The 16383-nt window shown below is 62.4% G+C and overlaps 1 non-coding gene across 1 annotated transcript, besides 5 other annotated features; it reads right to left on the bottom strand.

Annotated features, from left to right (window-relative positions):
* Nucleotides 6888-7177: a silencer, noted in NCBI's record as "silent region_13147". NCBI's record gives its function as "represses an Ori minimal core promoter by ATAC-STARR-seq in GM12878 lymphoblastoid cells {active_cell/tissue: GM12878}" and the evidence as "EXISTENCE:reporter gene assay evidence [ECO:0000049][PMID:35858748]".
* Nucleotides 7465-8425: an enhancer, noted in NCBI's record as "H3K4me1 hESC enhancer chr20:61809099-61810059 (GRCh37/hg19 assembly coordinates)". NCBI's record gives its function as "activates a minimal SCP1, AML or CMV promoter by ChIP-STARR-seq in naive H9 embryonic stem cells {active_cell/tissue: H9 hESC(naive)}" and the evidence as "EXISTENCE:reporter gene assay evidence [ECO:0000049][PMID:30033119]".
* On the bottom strand, nt 7586-7672 carry MIR124-3 (microRNA 124-3). The gene has a single exon (NR_029670.1). It is a non-coding gene; the product is annotated as a microRNA 124-3 (primary transcript).
* Nucleotides 11326-11900: an enhancer, noted in NCBI's record as "H3K27ac-H3K4me1 hESC enhancer chr20:61805624-61806198 (GRCh37/hg19 assembly coordinates)". NCBI's record gives its function as "activates a minimal SCP1, AML or CMV promoter by ChIP-STARR-seq in naive H9 embryonic stem cells {active_cell/tissue: H9 hESC(naive)}" and the evidence as "EXISTENCE:reporter gene assay evidence [ECO:0000049][PMID:30033119]".
* Nucleotides 12477-13051: an enhancer, noted in NCBI's record as "H3K27ac-H3K4me1 hESC enhancer chr20:61804473-61805047 (GRCh37/hg19 assembly coordinates)". NCBI's record gives its function as "activates a minimal SCP1, AML or CMV promoter by ChIP-STARR-seq in naive H9 embryonic stem cells {active_cell/tissue: H9 hESC(naive)}" and the evidence as "EXISTENCE:reporter gene assay evidence [ECO:0000049][PMID:30033119]".
* Nucleotides 13052-13628: an enhancer, noted in NCBI's record as "H3K4me1 hESC enhancer chr20:61803896-61804472 (GRCh37/hg19 assembly coordinates)". NCBI's record gives its function as "activates a minimal SCP1, AML or CMV promoter by ChIP-STARR-seq in naive H9 embryonic stem cells {active_cell/tissue: H9 hESC(naive)}" and the evidence as "EXISTENCE:reporter gene assay evidence [ECO:0000049][PMID:30033119]".

Raw genomic sequence — 16383 nt, 5'->3', positions numbered from 1 at the left:
TTCCATGGGCACACACCGACACATGTGATTATATGCCCTAACATGAGCAGGCATAGACACGTGTGATCATATGCCCTAACATGGGCACGTACAGATATGCGTGATCATATGCCCTACCGTGGGCACGCACCGACACACGTGATCATGTGCCCTAACATGGGGATGCACCGACATGTATGAGCATGTGTCCTTCCATGGGGATACACAGACACATGATCATATGCCCTACCATGGGCACATGCCGACACGCTTGATCATGTGCCTACCATAGGCACACACCGACACACGTGATCATATGCCCTAACATGAGCAGGCATAGACACGTGTGATCATATGCCCTAACATGGGGACGCATAGACATGCATGGTCATATGCCCTAAAATGGGCATGTGCCGAACATGTGTGATCATGTGCCCTACCATGGACACACACTGACACACGCGATCATATGCCCTACCATGGGCACGCACTGATACGTGTGATCACATGCCCTAACATGGGCACACACTGACACACGTGATCGTGTGCCCTACCATGGACACGCACCGACACACACGATCATGTGCCTTACCATAGGAATGCACAGACACACATGATCATATGCCCTACCATGGACACACACTGACACACATGATCATATGCCATAACGGGCACACACCGACACACGTGATCATATGCCCTACCATGGGCACACACCGACACACGTGATCATGTGCCCTAACATGGGGATGCACCGACATGTATGACCATGTGTCCTTCCATGGGGATACACAGACACGTGATCATATGCCCTACCATGGGCACACACTGACACACGTGATTATATGCCCTAACATGAGCAGGCATAGACACGTGTGATCATATGCCCTAACATGGGGACGCACAGACATGCATGGTCATATGCCCTAAAATGGGCATGCACCGAACATGTGTGATCATGTGCCCTACCATGGACACACACTGACACACGCGATCATATGCCCTAACATGGGCACACACCGACACACGTGATCATGTGCCCTACCATGGACGTGCACCGACACACACGATCATGTGCCTTACCATAGGAATGCACAAACACACATGATCATATGCCCTACCATGGGCACACACTGACACGCATGACCATATGCCCACAGGCATCCCCAGGCATGCACGCACACACGCACACAAATGAATACACACATGCACATATGCATACAGCCACACACAGGTGCACACACATGGGCCGTGTAAAACTAATGTAAAGATGATAATGGTCCCAGATAAACAGGAGCCCCTTGGGAAGGATCCGCCTTCTGCTCTGTCTGGGTGCAAGCCACAGCACCTCCTCAGGTCTGTAATTCTTGGGGGGTCTGCACATGAGGAAAGGTGGGGTTTGGCTGGAAATGGGCTTTTCTGTGGGCTGTTTGGTCCTTAGGCTCTTGGGACATCTCCAGCCTTTTGGCAGGTGGGCTCTGACAGGGGGTGCCACTCTCCCAGGGTAGCCACTATGTCTTCTAAGCAGGACTACCTGCCCCCAGCAGATTCTGCACTTCTCTGGGTGTGAAGTCACGGAAATACCTTTTGGGGGCCAAGACAGGGGTATTCTCTAGACATTTGGGAAGACTTGTGGGGAAGGGACACTGGAGACTGTCCAAGGTTAGCTGGTTCAGGGGCTGCTTAGGTGGTGATGACCAGGGCCTCTGTGGCCAGAGGAGGGCTGTCCTTATGTGGAGTCGGGGACCTGAGCATCACCAGGCTGATATGGCACTGAGGCCCTGTAGCTTCCCCTCCTGTGTCCTCAGCATGCAGTCACCCTCCTAGAAGTATATGGGTCTATGGAGTGACCTTTGGGTGGCCACAGTTCAGTGGATCTGCATCTCTCCCACATCCCCACTGCTTCAAAGAACTGAAAACAGGACCAGCCAGAGGGAGTTTAAATGGCCCCACTCTGCAGGGTCCATGGTGATGGTGCTCCTGCCACTGCTGCTACTGATGATAACAATGATGATGGTGGCAATGGTTATGTTGATGGTGGTGATGTTACTGATGATAATGGTGGTGATGGTACTGATGGTGGCAGTAATTATGGTGATGATGACCGCTGACATTTACTGAACGAACATGTCTAAACTTACCCTCCAGCTTCCAGAAGGGAAGCACAGAGCGGTGAAGTCTTGACTCCAGGAGTCTGAGACATGCCCTTGTGTCCTTGTACCAATGGCTGAGGGGGCCCCGCCTTCCCACCCACTGTGACCAGGATGCTCCCGCTCTGTTCCAGACTCTGTTCCAGGTGGGTTCCAGGCAGAGCCCAGACTACCCTCTCTACCCATGGAGGTCCTGTCCCTGCAGGCCCACCTGGACCTTGGTGGTGCTTGTGGCACCATTCCTAGGAAGGGCTCAGAAATATCTGTTGAATGAACGAATGAATGAACAAAGAGCATCCTGATGTGCAAGGGCCCCCGTGTGTCCCTCCTCCCCTGGTCTGAGGTGTGTGGGGCAAAGGGCAGTCTCCCCGTGGGGAGGGGCCTGCCTCTACACATTGCTCATGCAGACGGCATTCGTGTCTGTGCAATGCTCCAGGTCCTTCTGGGGCCTGATTCTGCCAGGGGTCTCCCCATTCCTGTCCAGGTGCAGGATCCTGTGGCAGCTCCAGGGCGCCCTCACGTGGTAAGTACAGGCACCTGCAGGAGGGCCTGGCCACACATACCGAGGTAGCCAAGAGGTGTGTTGGGGAGTTCTGCCTGTGCCCCTAGGTGGATGGTTGTGTGCCACATGGTTGTACTTTGAGACTTTACCTCAGCTTGGTCTGTGTGCTGCGTGGACATCTCCATCCTGTCCCTGCAGAGACGTGCCCACTATGGAGCACTGACCCTATGTGCTGTGTGTGTGGACTGGGTGCAGCCTGGGCCTGGAAGCCTGGTCCCCAGCCTGGTCTTGGTCGTTTGTTCGTGTGGGGCTCAGATCCTGCTCACAGGGCTGGACATTCCTGGGGTTGGCCAAGGGTCTGTGTCTCAGCTGGGGCTCTCAGCAGGAGGGTCCAGAGTGGCTGTGCCCTAGCCCAGCCCACATGCCTCCCAAGTGTTCAGAGGTGGTGGCATAAACTTGTGTGGCAGAGCGGCCCCCGGACCAGGCTGGAATGCCCGGCCCACTGGATTCTGGGGCGCCTCTGGCCCATGTTCCCAGCTGGCAGTGACTCGGGGCTGGGGAGCCAGGGAATGAAGGAGCTGCAGAGGCCACAGCATCTCAGGAGCAACCCGACCAGGTCTGCTGAGATCTGCTGAGGATGCAGAGGGGCTGTATGTTTCCATCTGGCTCAGTTTTACCACTCATGGCCCTGAGGAGGGGGCTCAGCTGCCCTCGGCTTTGAGCTGGCCCCCAACCCCATGGCTCCATCAGAGCATCTGTGGAAATGGCTTGTGGTGGGGGAGTCTCCCCTGAAACAGTCCTGTTCCCCAGCACTAGGGCCTATTTCCGCCCCTGTATCCCTGTATTCCTGCTGTGAGTCTTCTGGGTGGTGAGGGCTGCCTTCTGGGATCTGGCCTGGCCAGCTGGGGTGGGGGTTGCAAAGCTGAGAAGAGGAGGGGTGTGGCCATCTCTGTGGCGATCATGGCTTGGCTGATGCTGAGTTCCAGAAAAGGAGCCGGAATGACCTGCGTGTCTCAGCCCTGCAGGGATGAGGATGGCAAGGAGGGGCGGGGGGAGGGGGGCGGGTGCCTGGCCGTGCTCCCCCTGAAACACATCCCCAGCCCCGGGCTGGGCCCCACCCTGGCCTCAGCTTCCCCTGGAGAGCCTCTTCTTGATCTCATTCATGGTGTTGCCACCGGTTACCCCGAGGCAACCGTGGGAGACACTGGCTTTATTTTTCCCCTCTACCAAGGAGGAAATAGAGTGCGGAGGGAACTTGATGCTGGGGCAGGGCACGGTGGCTGAAGACATGGAGCCTGGGCCTCCATCTGGTGAATAACCAGCAGCCTCCGTCAGGCCAGGCCAGAGTCCAGGGTGGAGGAGTGTGGCTATGGCGATGCATTTGAGGGAGGGTCCTGCTTTCTGGTGGTGCATGTGAGGGAGGGTCCTGCTTTCTGGCGGTGCATGTGAGGGAGGGTCCTGCTTTCTGGCGGTGCCCGTGAGGGAGGGTCCTGCTTTCTGGCGGTGCCCGTGAGGGAGGGTCCTGCTTTCTGGCTCTGTGGCAGCCCTGGGGGCCACAGGACATAAGGCTCCAGGGTGTCTGTGTGTGCACGTGCATGTCATGAGTGGTCCCAGGACCAATGCCAAGCCTGCTGGATTCCAGGGCTGCCTCTGGCCCATGTCCCTGGCTAGCGGTGACTTGAGAAGACCCTGCTACCTTCCTGGCACCTCGGGACAGGGTCACCAAGCAGAGGCAGACTTCTCTGCTCTGTGCTCTCACTGTCGGGCAAGGCCTCTCCATCCCTCTAATAAGCTGGAGGGAGTCACCCTGTATCATTTCATTTTTTAGTTTTTAATTCATTCCCAAACATTATCCCCTATGCCCCACCCCACCCAGCTGCCAACTGTTCCTGGCACCCACAGCCCCAAAATAGCAGCTGGTCTGGGCACCAGGGGTGAAGGCTGGGCTGTGAGGGTCTGAACTCTGGGGTCATCACTGCCAGGAGCCCGGCTTATGGGCACGGCCAGGAGGCAGCCAGGGGCAGGGAGGCTGAGAGCCAGCTCCTAATCTCTGCCCTGGCCAGAGACCTGCCAGGGGGCTTGGACTTGAGGGGAAGGAGGGTGGGGGCTCCTGGCCAATGGCCACACAGGGAGCCCTACCTGGAGGTGAGATCAAGGTGGAGACCAGGGGCTGCAGAATAGAGGGACTGGCTGCCCTGGCCCCTGCTGATTGTGGCCTGGCCCCTGCAGCTCCTCCCACCTCTGCTGCTCGTGGACCGGGGGATTTGGAGGAATTTCAGAGGGGACTGTGGGGCCTGTGGCTTCAGCCTCAGCAGCTTTATTAGGTTTTATTCAGAATAAAAATCTTTGGGTCAGGGAAGGGATGTCTTCCTCTGGTCCCACACTGGGGAGGGCCCTGCTGGATAGCCCTGAGCTGGCCTTGCTGGGTGTCATGGTCTGGTCAGAGGGTGTCCCAAGCCCTTGGCTCAAGTTTGCTGTCCACCAGGACCACTGCCTGGCAGCCGACCCAATGCAGGCTGGGTGCTGAGGATTCAGTTGGGGGTATGTGCCCAGCTCTTCCTGAGTGGAGGCGGGCAGTGTCTGTGTGTGCGTGGGAGGTGAGACTGTGTGAGCATGTCTGTGACTGTGGCTGCGGGTGTGAGCAGGAGGAGGAGAGGCTGAGCTGGACATGCAGGGCAGTCCATGTTGGCTGCAAAGCATGGTGATGGTGGCCCCTGCCCCAAGGGCCTCTCACTGAGGCCAGCAGCTCAGCTGCTGCAGGTCCGAGTGGACCCTGTGGCACATGGGGCCCTCCCCGCACTGCGGCAGACGGTGCTACAGCTATGGTAAGGCCTGGCCCAAGAAGGTGCGCACTCAGCTCTGCAGCTCCTTCGCAGTGAGCTTCCCCCCGTGTGCCCCATACCTACTGGGCTGCCCACCTTCCTGTGACCCCCTGAGCTCCAGCCCAGAAGCCACAAGTCTGCCCTGGGGGCTGGGGCCCAGGTGCACCACTGGGGGCAGGCATCAGGAGAGGTAGCTCCCTGACCGTGACAGAGTCCAGGAAGCTCTTCCTAGGAGACCCCACAGAGACTGACTGTCTAGGGACAGTGCCAAGGGCAGTTTGCCCATGCGCTCCCACCAGCTCTCAAGTGTCCCCCTCCCCAGGCTACTGACATGGAAGGTCCATTCTGGCTAGGAGCCAAGTCCCCTCCCCAGGAAGGAAAGTGGTACAAGAACAAAGCCCCAGCCCCCATCTCTGGCCCCAGAGGAGGGAGCAGCCAGGGGCCACCTTCCCTCCGAGGGAAGGGCCAGGCTGGAGGTCAGAGCTCCAAGAGGAAGCTCCAGCTAGGCTAGGGCCACATCTTGTACCCCGAAGGAACACCCCACTCCCACCAGTCCCTTTGGTGTTGTCCTGGAACGATCCTGGGGCCCCTTCCCCTTCTCTAGGACCAGAAGTGCCCCTGGGGGATGCTGCCTGTCCCCTCACAGCGGGAGGAAGGAAGAAGGGGACGCCAAGCCCCGGGGTCAGTGTTGTGGTCAGGCCGGGGCTTGCTGGGGCTGCCTATGCCACTTCTGTGCCCTCCAGGGGGAACCTGCCCCTGAGGAGACTGGTGGACCGTGTTCTGACTCTGCCTGGCTGACTGGGGTGGGGGTGGGAAGATGGAGGCACCAGTGGCTCCTGCTTGTGTCTGCAGCAGGCGACTTGGGTGGAGGGGCTGGAGGTCTGTGCTGAGGACAGCCGCAGAGGCAGGTTCCCTTTGTGGCCCTGCAGCGGCGGTGGTGGGGGTGGAGATGCCACTGCCTGAAACTCAAATGGTTCCTTTTATCCTGATCTTCTGCTCCCTGCCTTGGGCCTGGAGCTGGGAGAACTTCAGGTGACTCAGACTCCTGCCTCGGATTGAAGCCGGGGAGGAGAGGCTCAGCCTCTACCTGGTTAAGAGGAAAGAGGCAAAGCTGCAAAGCCAGGTCTGGCACTCGCCCCAGGGGAAGGGGGCTTTTGGGGAGGGGGTCGTCCTCTGACTGTTACCGGGGCATCACAGCCCAGCCGGGGCCTGGGATGGGCGCGGGGGAGGCGGCGCAGAGGCGGTGCCGGGCGTCAGCAGGTGGCGCTGGCTTCCGGGGACAGAAAAAAAACCCCTGCAGCAAACCCGAGTGGGTGTCACTGCGGCTGCAGATGGCGGCGGGGGAGGGATTTGTCATTTTCTCCCTGGGCTGCGGAGTCTCACGTGCCTGGTCCTGCACAGCCCAGAGCCGGCTTTGGGGGCGGGATGCGGTCCGGCGTGTCCACCGCCCTCGTTTGGACCCTGGACGCGGACGCAGACCCCCGTCCCCATGCAAGCCTGGTCCTGGGCTGCGGGGGCTGCTCTGGGGCCACAGCGAGCGCCGCCTCCGCCCCGCCCCGCGGCGCAGCGGCCCGAGGAAGGGCAGACTTAGCGGTGACCTCAGACCCTGCCCCACCTCCTCCCACGTTGCCGTGGCAACTGTCCAGGGCGCCCGCTGTGGGGGCGAGGGCCGCACTTGGCCGCCCTCCCGTCCCGCGGGGGCCGCCCCGCCGCCAGCACCGCGGACAGCGCCGCACCCTAGCCCGCCGCCCCACGCACCCGCCCGCCGCTCCCCGTGGACCCTCCCTTTGTCTCCCGGGCCCCGCCGCCCTCTGCGGGCGCCTGGGCGCTCCGCGCTGCGGACACACGTGGCCGGGGGCCGGCTGGCCGCAGCCTGGCCCCGGCCGCAGGCTCCCCCCTCGGCCGCCCTCGGCCGCCCCCACCCGCCCCGCGACGCCAGAGGCGTGCGGGCCCCTTTGTGTCCCGCGGCCAGATCCCCGGCCCGGCAGCTGGGCCGCACTCTGGGCGGGCGCATTGTTCGCCGGATTTGTCCGCGGCGCGAATGGCCGCCGGGGGCCGGGCTCGCCTTCCTCCCGCGGGAGGGGCGCTGGGCCGGACGGGCTCGCGGGCCATTTCCATGAGAAAGGAGCGGCGGAGGCGCCTCTCTTGGCATTCACCGCGTGCCTTAATTGTATAGACATTAAATCAAGGTCCGCTGTGAACACGCAGAGGGGCCCTCAGGGCTGGGGCGGGCGGCGAGCGTCGGGGCCAGGGTCGGGACCGGCTCGGGCTTGCGTGGGGTCCTCGCCCGAGGGGCGCGAACGCTCAGGCGTCTTCGCCGCGTGGCGGGCAGGGCGGGGGCGCTGCGCTCAGCCGACTGTGCTGTCCCAGTCCGCCCCCGACTCGGAGGAGCCCACACTTCTCCCCTTTCCGCGGCAGAGAGTGGGCCCCCAAGTGCGTCCCTCCGGGCGTTCCTGGAGCTGGGGCGCCCGGGAATCGCGAAGACGGATTCCGGGGGTGGGGGTGGTGAGCGCGTGCGCACCCGGCCGCCTCCCGCGGGGCTCCGAGGGGCGCAGAACCGCTCCGACTGGGCGGCGCGAGCTCCTCCGCAGCTGCCTTCCCCTGCCGTCGCCCTGCCCGTGCCGACCCAGGAGCGCGCACCGAATGCGGTTAAAAGAACGAATCTCGATGCTCAAAGATGAAAACTCGTCTCTTTTTACAACCCAGCGAGCTCGTCCTCTCCGCGCGCAGCGGGCCCGCGAGAAGGCGCTCGAGCTGTTCGTGGAGAGAAAGACGGGGAGACCCAGAGAGGCCGCTTGCCCGGCTCGCCCCGGCCCGGCCCCGAGCGTAATTACCAGTCCCGGCGGGAGCCGCTGCTGCCGCCTCCGCTCCCTGCGCCTCCCGCGCCGCCGCCAGTTCCCGCCTGCTCTTCGGCTCCCGGGGGCCCCGCGCGCTGCTGCCCTGGGCGGAGAAGGGCGCGGGAACCCCGAGAAGGGAGCCAGGCAAGTCCCCGAGCGCCGCAGGCCGGCTGCGAGCCGAGTGTCCACGGGGTCCACGCTGCAGGCGCCCAGCTCCTGCTAGCCCGGCCCGGCCCCGATGCAACTGTCCCCGCGCCCGCCGCCGCCGCCGCCGTCGCCGTTGCCTCCGCGCGTATCCGCGCTCCGCTCCGGCACCGGCCGATTATCACTGGGGCGCGCGGTGACGTCACCCGGACACCGGCCCCGCCGCTGCCTCCCCGAGGTGTCCTTGAGAACTGCGGGGCACGCGCGCCGCGCACACGCGCACACACGCACTGCGCGCCTCGTGCCTCCCGCGCATTCGCACCGCGTCCCGCCCCGCGCGCTCCTCGGCTCACGCGGACTCAGCCATCGAGCGCCCTCGACCGTGCCCTGCGCCCGGCGGCCACACGGAGACCCAAGGAAACGCCTGTCTCCCACACACTCCAGCCCCTCACATGGCCCTCCTGCACCCACGCGCGCAGCCCCTCCAGCTGCACATTGACACCTCTAGCCACACCCCGCCACGCGCACGCCTCGCCACGCGCACGCCTCGCCGGCACGCAGCCCAGCGGCACCCGCAGACACGCACCCGCACTCGGGCCCTGACCGCGGGTTCGCGTCTCCTGTCTGGCGCCTGCAGAACGCACTCTGCCGCGCAGCTCACACCGCGGTCCTCCAAGCCTCTCAGTCCTGAGAAAGGCAAGGGTCCCGCCGGCCTCCTGCGGATGGCCCTGCTGGGCTCCGTACAGTGGGGTGGGAATTAAAGGTCGTCCTTCCCCGCCCCCATCGGAGCTTGCGGTTCTCACAGTTTCAGACCGGGATGGGAGCTCTTGCCCGTAGGGACCACGGAATCACAGGCGACACTCCACGGCCCGACTGCAGTCACTGCCAGCTCGATAGGGTCCTTGGGGCGCCCCCGATCTGGCCCTCTAGGGCCAGGGATCAGTGGCTTCCCCAAGCCTCACCGTCCGGAGCCTCCCCCGCTGGCCTTTGTTTAGACTGCAAGGAGCGCAGGCCGGCGCGGCCGGCAGGCCTCTGTCCCCATCTCCTTCCTCCTAGGGCCAACCCAGCCCCTGCGCCATCTGCCCTCGGAGCAGAGCCTGGGCCTCCCTGGGAGCAGGTCCTGCTTCCTTCCTTTTCCACCCTCTCCAGCACTGCCCAGCCCATGGACAGCCGGTTAGGAAGGGCGGCAGGAACTCGGGTTGGTTCTGCCCGCACCGACTCCGCCGGTCCTCAACCATCAGGACGCCCCTCCCCCTTTGGTGCGGCTTCAACCTGACCCTTCCCAGCCGCAATTCCTCGCCCTTCGCAAGTGTCAGGGACAATCTTTCTTTCTCACAGGTCACGCACAAGCCCTCTACTCCTCCACAGCCCAAGGGGAACCTTCTGTTCCAAGCGCAAAGCTCTGGAAGCTGCCCCAAGCCTGCGGGTGCCGGCAGCCTCAGCAGGTGCAAGCCGGACGCTGGAGGGGCTGGAGGGCTGGGGAGGCCAGGCTGCAGCAGCCCCGCTTCATTGGAGACAGTTGCCCTTGGCCTCCAGTGGTCGGAATCGGACCCTCACCCTAATGAAACGGGGGCAGTCCCCAGGGCGGTCCTAGGCTCCCAGTCTGAGGCATCCGCTGTCCATGGTGTTGAAACGGAACCCTGAAACCTCCGCCTCACTTTCGGACTTTATACCCCCAGCCCTCTTCTCACCAAGGGTTGGGGCCAGGGAGGCCGGCTCCCGGCCCCCTCCCCTCCCGTCCCCCACCCTTAGCTTCCTGGACGGGTCCAGGACGCCTCGGGATTCCAGCTCCTTGGAGCTTGTTCCCATTCTAAGGGGAAAGACTCCTTAGCACCCCCCATCGGTACCTTGGCTTCGGGGACCCCAAATCTTTCTTTGGGTCTCTTTTCCGTACAGGACCGGCTCCACCTGGGGCAGGGTGGATCGCCGCCCCTGGCAGACCTGTTCCCTCACCTGGCGGAGCACCTTCGTCCTTCCCACTTTACCTTTGGCGGAGGGCTCTCTGGCAGGCCGGGGTGGGTAAGGTGGAAGGCTGGGGGTCGCCCCCTTCCCTTGGGTCACCCTAGATTTTTGTACATCCCTAGAAGAACCCGGCCCCTCTTGGAGTCCTGAGTAGCGATCGGGGTCCCCGGCTCCCCACTTCCACCCCCGGTGTGCAGCGGCCCCCAGCCAGGCGGGCTGGGGGAAGGGCCGTCCAGGGCTTGGGGGCGGAGCCGGCCGGTAGGAGCCGCGCGGGAAGGGGAGCCCGCCTGCAGCCTCTGCCCCGCCCGCCCCGCAGAGTCCGCTCCGGTGGGGACCTTTTCGGTGGCCCCGCGAGCTTCGTAGGTTTCATAAAAGTCAACTTACTGCTGCCGGGCCCGGGCTGGGGTCTGTGCTTCCCCCGCTCCGCGGGGGCCTAGTCTCGCCTTGCCCGGCGCCTTCTCTCCGCCGCCGCCCACGCCGCCGCCTCTCCGGAGCACACGGATAATTTGTTTGTGGATTTGTTTATTTGCCAGCTCCGGGGACAGTGGGGGAGTGAAAAGGGGCGCGAAGGTGGGGGCGGCGGCGCTGCCGGGCCAGCTCGGGCTCCCGGTTCCCGGCGGCCGCCTCGGTGCGCACAAAGGCCGGCGCGCAGCGGGGCCGGCAACTTCGCTACGGGTCAGGTGGCTCCGGCGGGGGCGGGAGCGGGAGGAGGGGAGGAAACACGGGCCGAGACCCCCACCCCCTCCCCCTCCCTCTTGTCCGCCATCCGTGAAAGCCTCCGAATAGCGTGGGATTAAACAAATCAACAGAACCCGTGGAGAACCCCTCCCTTTCCGCTCCTTCTCCCTCGTCACCACCCGCTCCTCCTCTGCGGGAGGCCTGTCATTCCTCCAGAAAGAGGAAAGGCCGCGGCCCACATCTGGGAACAGCTGGCTCACCACCTCTTGACCCTTGACCCTCGCCTCCTTTGGAGTCTGCTGCAGACCACCCCCCACCCAGCCCCTGCAGCATGCGGAGGTGGGGAGGATGTGGAAGGCCAGATGGAGGTGCCCACAGTACAGATGTGGGTGGCAGAGGGGGTGGGGACCCTTGCCTCCCAGTGGCCCACAGCTTCCCAGTTCCAGCTGGGGTGGTCAAAGGAGCTCAGAGGCCCCCACCCAGTGCCTCACCCAGGGATGGCGGAGACTTCTGTCTGGCTCTGCAGCAAGGCCTGGGTCCCCCTCCCACCCAGCATCTGTGACTGTGACCCCAAACATCTCCCCTGTGGGTAAGGGGGCCTCCCATTCCTCCCACGCCAGGCTTAACCTCCAGAGGTGGGCAGATGCTTGGTGCCATGAGGAGCAGGGGCCCCCGAAGGCCCATCCCACCTAGCAGGGGCCCTCTTCCACCCCCAGGAGCTCCAGGGACACTGCCAGGCAGCTTGATCCCCAGGACTAGGGGGTGGGAGTGCAAACATGGCAACTGGCCCCACGCACAAACTCAGAGGCAAGGTGCAGGGAGCAGGGAGACTCCATCTGCAGGTGCTCCCTCCACACCTGTCCCCTGGGCTTGGGTCTGGACGAGGCCAGTCGTGGGGCCCCGTGCCTGGTGGGGAGAGGGAGGGCCTCTCCTGGTCTTGCTCCTCCTCACCCTTTGTAGCGGGTGGCAGGGACCCCGCCTGCCTGAGCGCTGAGGGTGGGAGTGCAGCAACCGACCACAAAGACCTCGATTGTCAGCCCGCCCAGGCGCACAATAGGGTGGGGATAGCACAGGGCCTGGGGCCTCCGCATGGAAATGAGGCCACGGCCCCTTTCTCTCTGCTCCCGGCCTGGCCCCCTCCTCCCTGGCCCCAGTGAGAAGGAATACATAGACCTTGGACTGACCGTCCCAGAGGCGGAACTCCTTGTGGGTCCCGCCAGAGCTACTGGGCTGAGAGCTGGGCAGAATAGAGGCCAGGTAAGCACTGCGCCTGGGCGGGCAGGGAGGCGGGAGCCAGTGTGGAGCGAGGGGAGCTGGGTGCCTGGCCCATGGCGGGAATAGGCCTTTTGTTCCCCAGGGGCCAATATTTCAGCCTGAGGTGCGAACCTGGCCAGTCCCAGCCTCCCTGGCCATGCACTGTTGCTGGGGAATTGGGGATATGGAGCCTGGGCCAGCAGCCCCCGGCCCCCGCCCCTTGCCCAGGGCTGGCCCCCTCTACAGGGCGCCTCTTGGCTTTGGGCAGCTGCCTCCTTCCCATTGCCTCCAAGCCTAGCCTAGGGTCCTAGAGGGTGTGTTGCGGGGAGGGTAGGGAGGCTGGCCCCTGCTGGCCCCACCTAGGGATCTTGGTGTCAGCAAATTACCCTGGAGGAGTGAGGGGTGAGCAGCTTGCCCCAGCACTGCTCTCTTCTCTAGAAAGATGGAGGAGTTTGAGAGCAGGAGCTTCGAGAAGGCTCTGGGGCCTTGTGGCCTCGACTCCTCCAGCGGGAACCCCTCCTGCTTGGCTTTGGGGCCACCCCAGGCATGCAGCAGGACACCCATTTAGGGCACTTTCCTTTTGAACCTGGGCCTCAGGACCACCCAGAACAGACCTACGCAGAGCTGGGGCAGGGTCTCTCCCAGCCCTGGGTCCCCCTCCATGGGACCCAGCAAAGTTGGATGCGGCCAGCGTGGCCACAGGGTGAGGGCTCTTTGTCCCTGAGTCCACATGGGGTGGGGACTCTGTGTGGCCTCCTCAGTTACAGCCTGACCTCTAAGTGGGAGCAGGCGGCATCTGACAGGGCGCCCTCTCCTTCCTCAGGCCCTCAGGTGTCCCCCATGGAGCCCCCTCCTGGTCACAAGGGCGGGACTTGGCTCAATGCCCCTCCCCCTATGTTCTCAGCGGCCCCAGCACTCAGGACCCCACCAGAGGGAGCTCCACCACAGAGGCGCTTGTGGGGCCCAGCTGGCCCAGGCACCAATCCTCCAAAGGTGGAGCTCCCTCAGAAGTGGCTTGGCTCGGGGTGCAGAGAACAAGGCCATCCTTGGCTGGGCTGACAGCTGCTGGATGGCCTGCAGCTCATGGTCCCGGGGTAGGGCTGGAACGGCCCTTGTTCTGTCCCTCCCTCCAGGACACATCTGCCAGTCCTTTCTCAGGGTTCAGGTCCCCATCACTCTCTCAGCACCTGCCCCTGGGTCTCTGTGTCTCTCCCCTGGTCTCTGTCTCTTTCCTGTCTCTGAGTCTCTCCCCTGGTCTCTGTGTTTTTGCCAGTCTCTGTGTCTCTCCCGTGTCTCTGTGTCTCTCCCCCTGGTCTCTGTGTCCCCCCCAGTCTCTGTGCCCCCCCCTGGTTTCTGTGTCTCTCCCCTGGTCTCTGTGTCTCTCCCCTGGTCACTGTCTCTCCCCTGGTCTCTGTCTCTCCCCGGTCTCTGTCTCTCCCCTGTCTCTGTGTCTCCCCTGGTTTCTGTGTCTCTCCCCTCGTCTCTTTCTCTCTCCTGTCTCTGAGTCTCTCCCATGTCTCTGTGTCTCTCCTGTGTCTCTGTGTCTCTCTCCCTGGTCTCTGTCCTCCCAGTCTCTGTGTCTCCCCCCGTCTCTGTCTCTTTCCTGGTCTCTGTGTCTCTCCCCTGGTCTCTGTCTCCCCCTGTCTCTGTGTCTTTCCCCTGGTCTCTGTCTCTCTCTTTGGTCTCTGTGTCTCTCCCTTGGTCTCTGTGTCTCTCCCCGGTCTCTGTCTCTCCCCTGGTCTCTGTCTCTCCCCTGGTCACTGTCTCTTCCCTGGTCTCTGTCTCTCCCCTGGTCGCTGTCTCTTCCCTGGTCTCTGTCTCTGTCTCTCCCCGGTCTCTGTGTCTCCCCTGTCTCTGCATCTCTCCTTCTGGCCTCTATGATTCTCCTCATCTCTGAATGTCTCTCCCATAGGTCTATGTGTTGCCATCTCGCCTTTTCTTGGTTCTCTCTCATCGCTGCACCATCTTCCTCCTCAACTTCCTCTTGCTCATCTCCATCTCTTTCCATTTACCTCTCAGGAATGACTCCAGCAAGAAAGGAGGGCCATCAAAGGGACTTCTCAGGCTGCTGTCTGCTTTTAGGGACATGGGTATTCTCTTACCTCACTCTTGGGGGATGCCCCCTCCACCGCTAAGTCAAATGCCACAGGAGTGTGCCATGCTGGGAAGAAACTGGAGCGTCCACCCCAGGCCATTGCCCTAGGGCCGCCTACCTCCCTGTGTAACTGGGGCCAGGCATCTAGGGGCAGGGGAGGAGAGGACAAGCCCAAGGAAGGATGGGCTTAAGAAATGGGAGGGATTCCTGGGGCTGAGCAGAACAGCAGCCCACCAGGCAGAATGCACCCCTCCTGTCTGACCAGTGCAGACCCTCCAGGGAGGGGGCATGAGAGCCCTGGGATTTCCCCGGGTCGCAGAGAGGCATGGGTCTCTGTGCTGTCCTGGGTCTTGCTGCAGGGAAGGACACACAGCCTGCTCCTTGTGCCCAGCTGCCTGCCTGGGGCTGGCCCTCTGCCTGGGGCAGCTCTGGGAAAGCAGGCAGGGTGGACCTAACAGGGCGGTATCCTGGGGTGGGGGCTAAGGATGGCGCACCTGTAGGGTGCAGAGAAAGGACCTGTTAGTGCTGGTTTGTCTTCGAGTCTCAGACACTCCAGAATGTCCTTGTTTTGACAATGAGGGCAGGCGCTGGGCTCAGAGCCTTCAGTGGCTGTGCGACGTGGGTAGGGGCAGGTGAGCCTGTTTAAGTGCAGTTGTGTTCATTTAGGGTATTGTTTATTTAGGGCAAGTGATAGTGATTTTCCACTAATAGCGGAAATAGAAAGCTGTCTTTAAAACACAGTTACTTAAACGAAAGAGTGGATAGAAGGGAGATCTTCTGTCAGGAAAGGGGCTCAGTCGCCACAGGGGCTTCCATGCTTCTGGAGGGCCTCACGGTTTCTGCACAGAAGGCTTATGTCAAGCATTGGATTTCATGCTCTAATTTGTGACTTTTGAAAATCTGCTATTTTCCTCCCACGCTCGCCTGATGGGAGTTGTGCCTGGAGTTGGCATCAGATTGGGGTGGGCTGACCCTGGGGCTATCTGGGGCACTCTCCTTGTCACTGGGGGCTTCTCAGGCTGGACAAGGGAGTGTGGGCCTGCATTCTCAGGAGAGGCAGCTGAATGTGTCTGCTGGGGAGGAGCAGAGGCAAAGGATGAACTGGGCCCTTGGAGGTGCACCATGGTCTCATCCCTTGGCCATCCCCAGGACCACTTTGTGCAGCTCTGTTTCCCACTGTCTTTCCAAGCCTTCTTTCTCCCTATATCTTCCCTTGGAAGTGGCTTAGACACAAATTCTCACTAATGTGTGAATGACTGACTGTGAAGATGTGCTGCATCCCAGCCAGTGCACAGAGATCCCCTCCTCCCCTTGGCTCTGGTGGCCACCTGTGCTGCACCATGGGCTCTGAGCCTCTGGCTTTGGCTGAGGGAGGGGAGGATGTGAGGGAAAGGAGGGGAGGGAGTGTCAGCCCCCAAGCCCCTTGCAGGACTACTCACCACATCCCTCTGGTCTGGAGGGGTGGCAGCCTCAACCTCTCCAGCCCCAGGATGCCGTTCTGTCCCTGGGTTTCCCCACAACTGCCCGTGTCACTTGTTAAACCCTCCTGCAATCCTCAGCTCAAGGGCACCATCTGTTTCTTTGCCAGTTGTCTTTACTGGGAGGGAAGGCATCAATGGCAGGACTTCCTGCCCCTCAGACCAGGGCAAGAAACTCTGGGAGCCCAGAGAGGCACCTTCACCCTGGTTCCCCCGCCAGCAACAGTCTCTGTGCAGGTTGATGGAAGGGAAGAGCCTTCTGGTGGGGGACCAGTGAGGCTGTTGAGGATGCCAGGCAGGGGTGGGGCGAGAGGCAGGGATGGGGAGAGCTTAGGCCCTTCCTGAGCTCCACCCAACGAGGGGTGAAACAGTGCTGGGAGATCCGGGGACTGGGAGGTGCCTGCATTCCGAAGGTGACTGTGCAGAAGCTCAGAGCTGCCCCAGGAGACTAGGGCAGAGTGGAGCAACCTGGCCCTGAGCAG

This window comes from Homo sapiens, chromosome 20, assembly GCF_000001405.40.
Source record: "Homo sapiens chromosome 20, GRCh38.p14 Primary Assembly".
Lineage (NCBI taxonomy): Eukaryota > Metazoa > Chordata > Mammalia > Primates > Hominidae > Homo > Homo sapiens.
The sequence above is the reverse complement of the archived record's forward strand: the minus strand, read 5'-3'. Positions and strand labels throughout refer to the sequence as shown.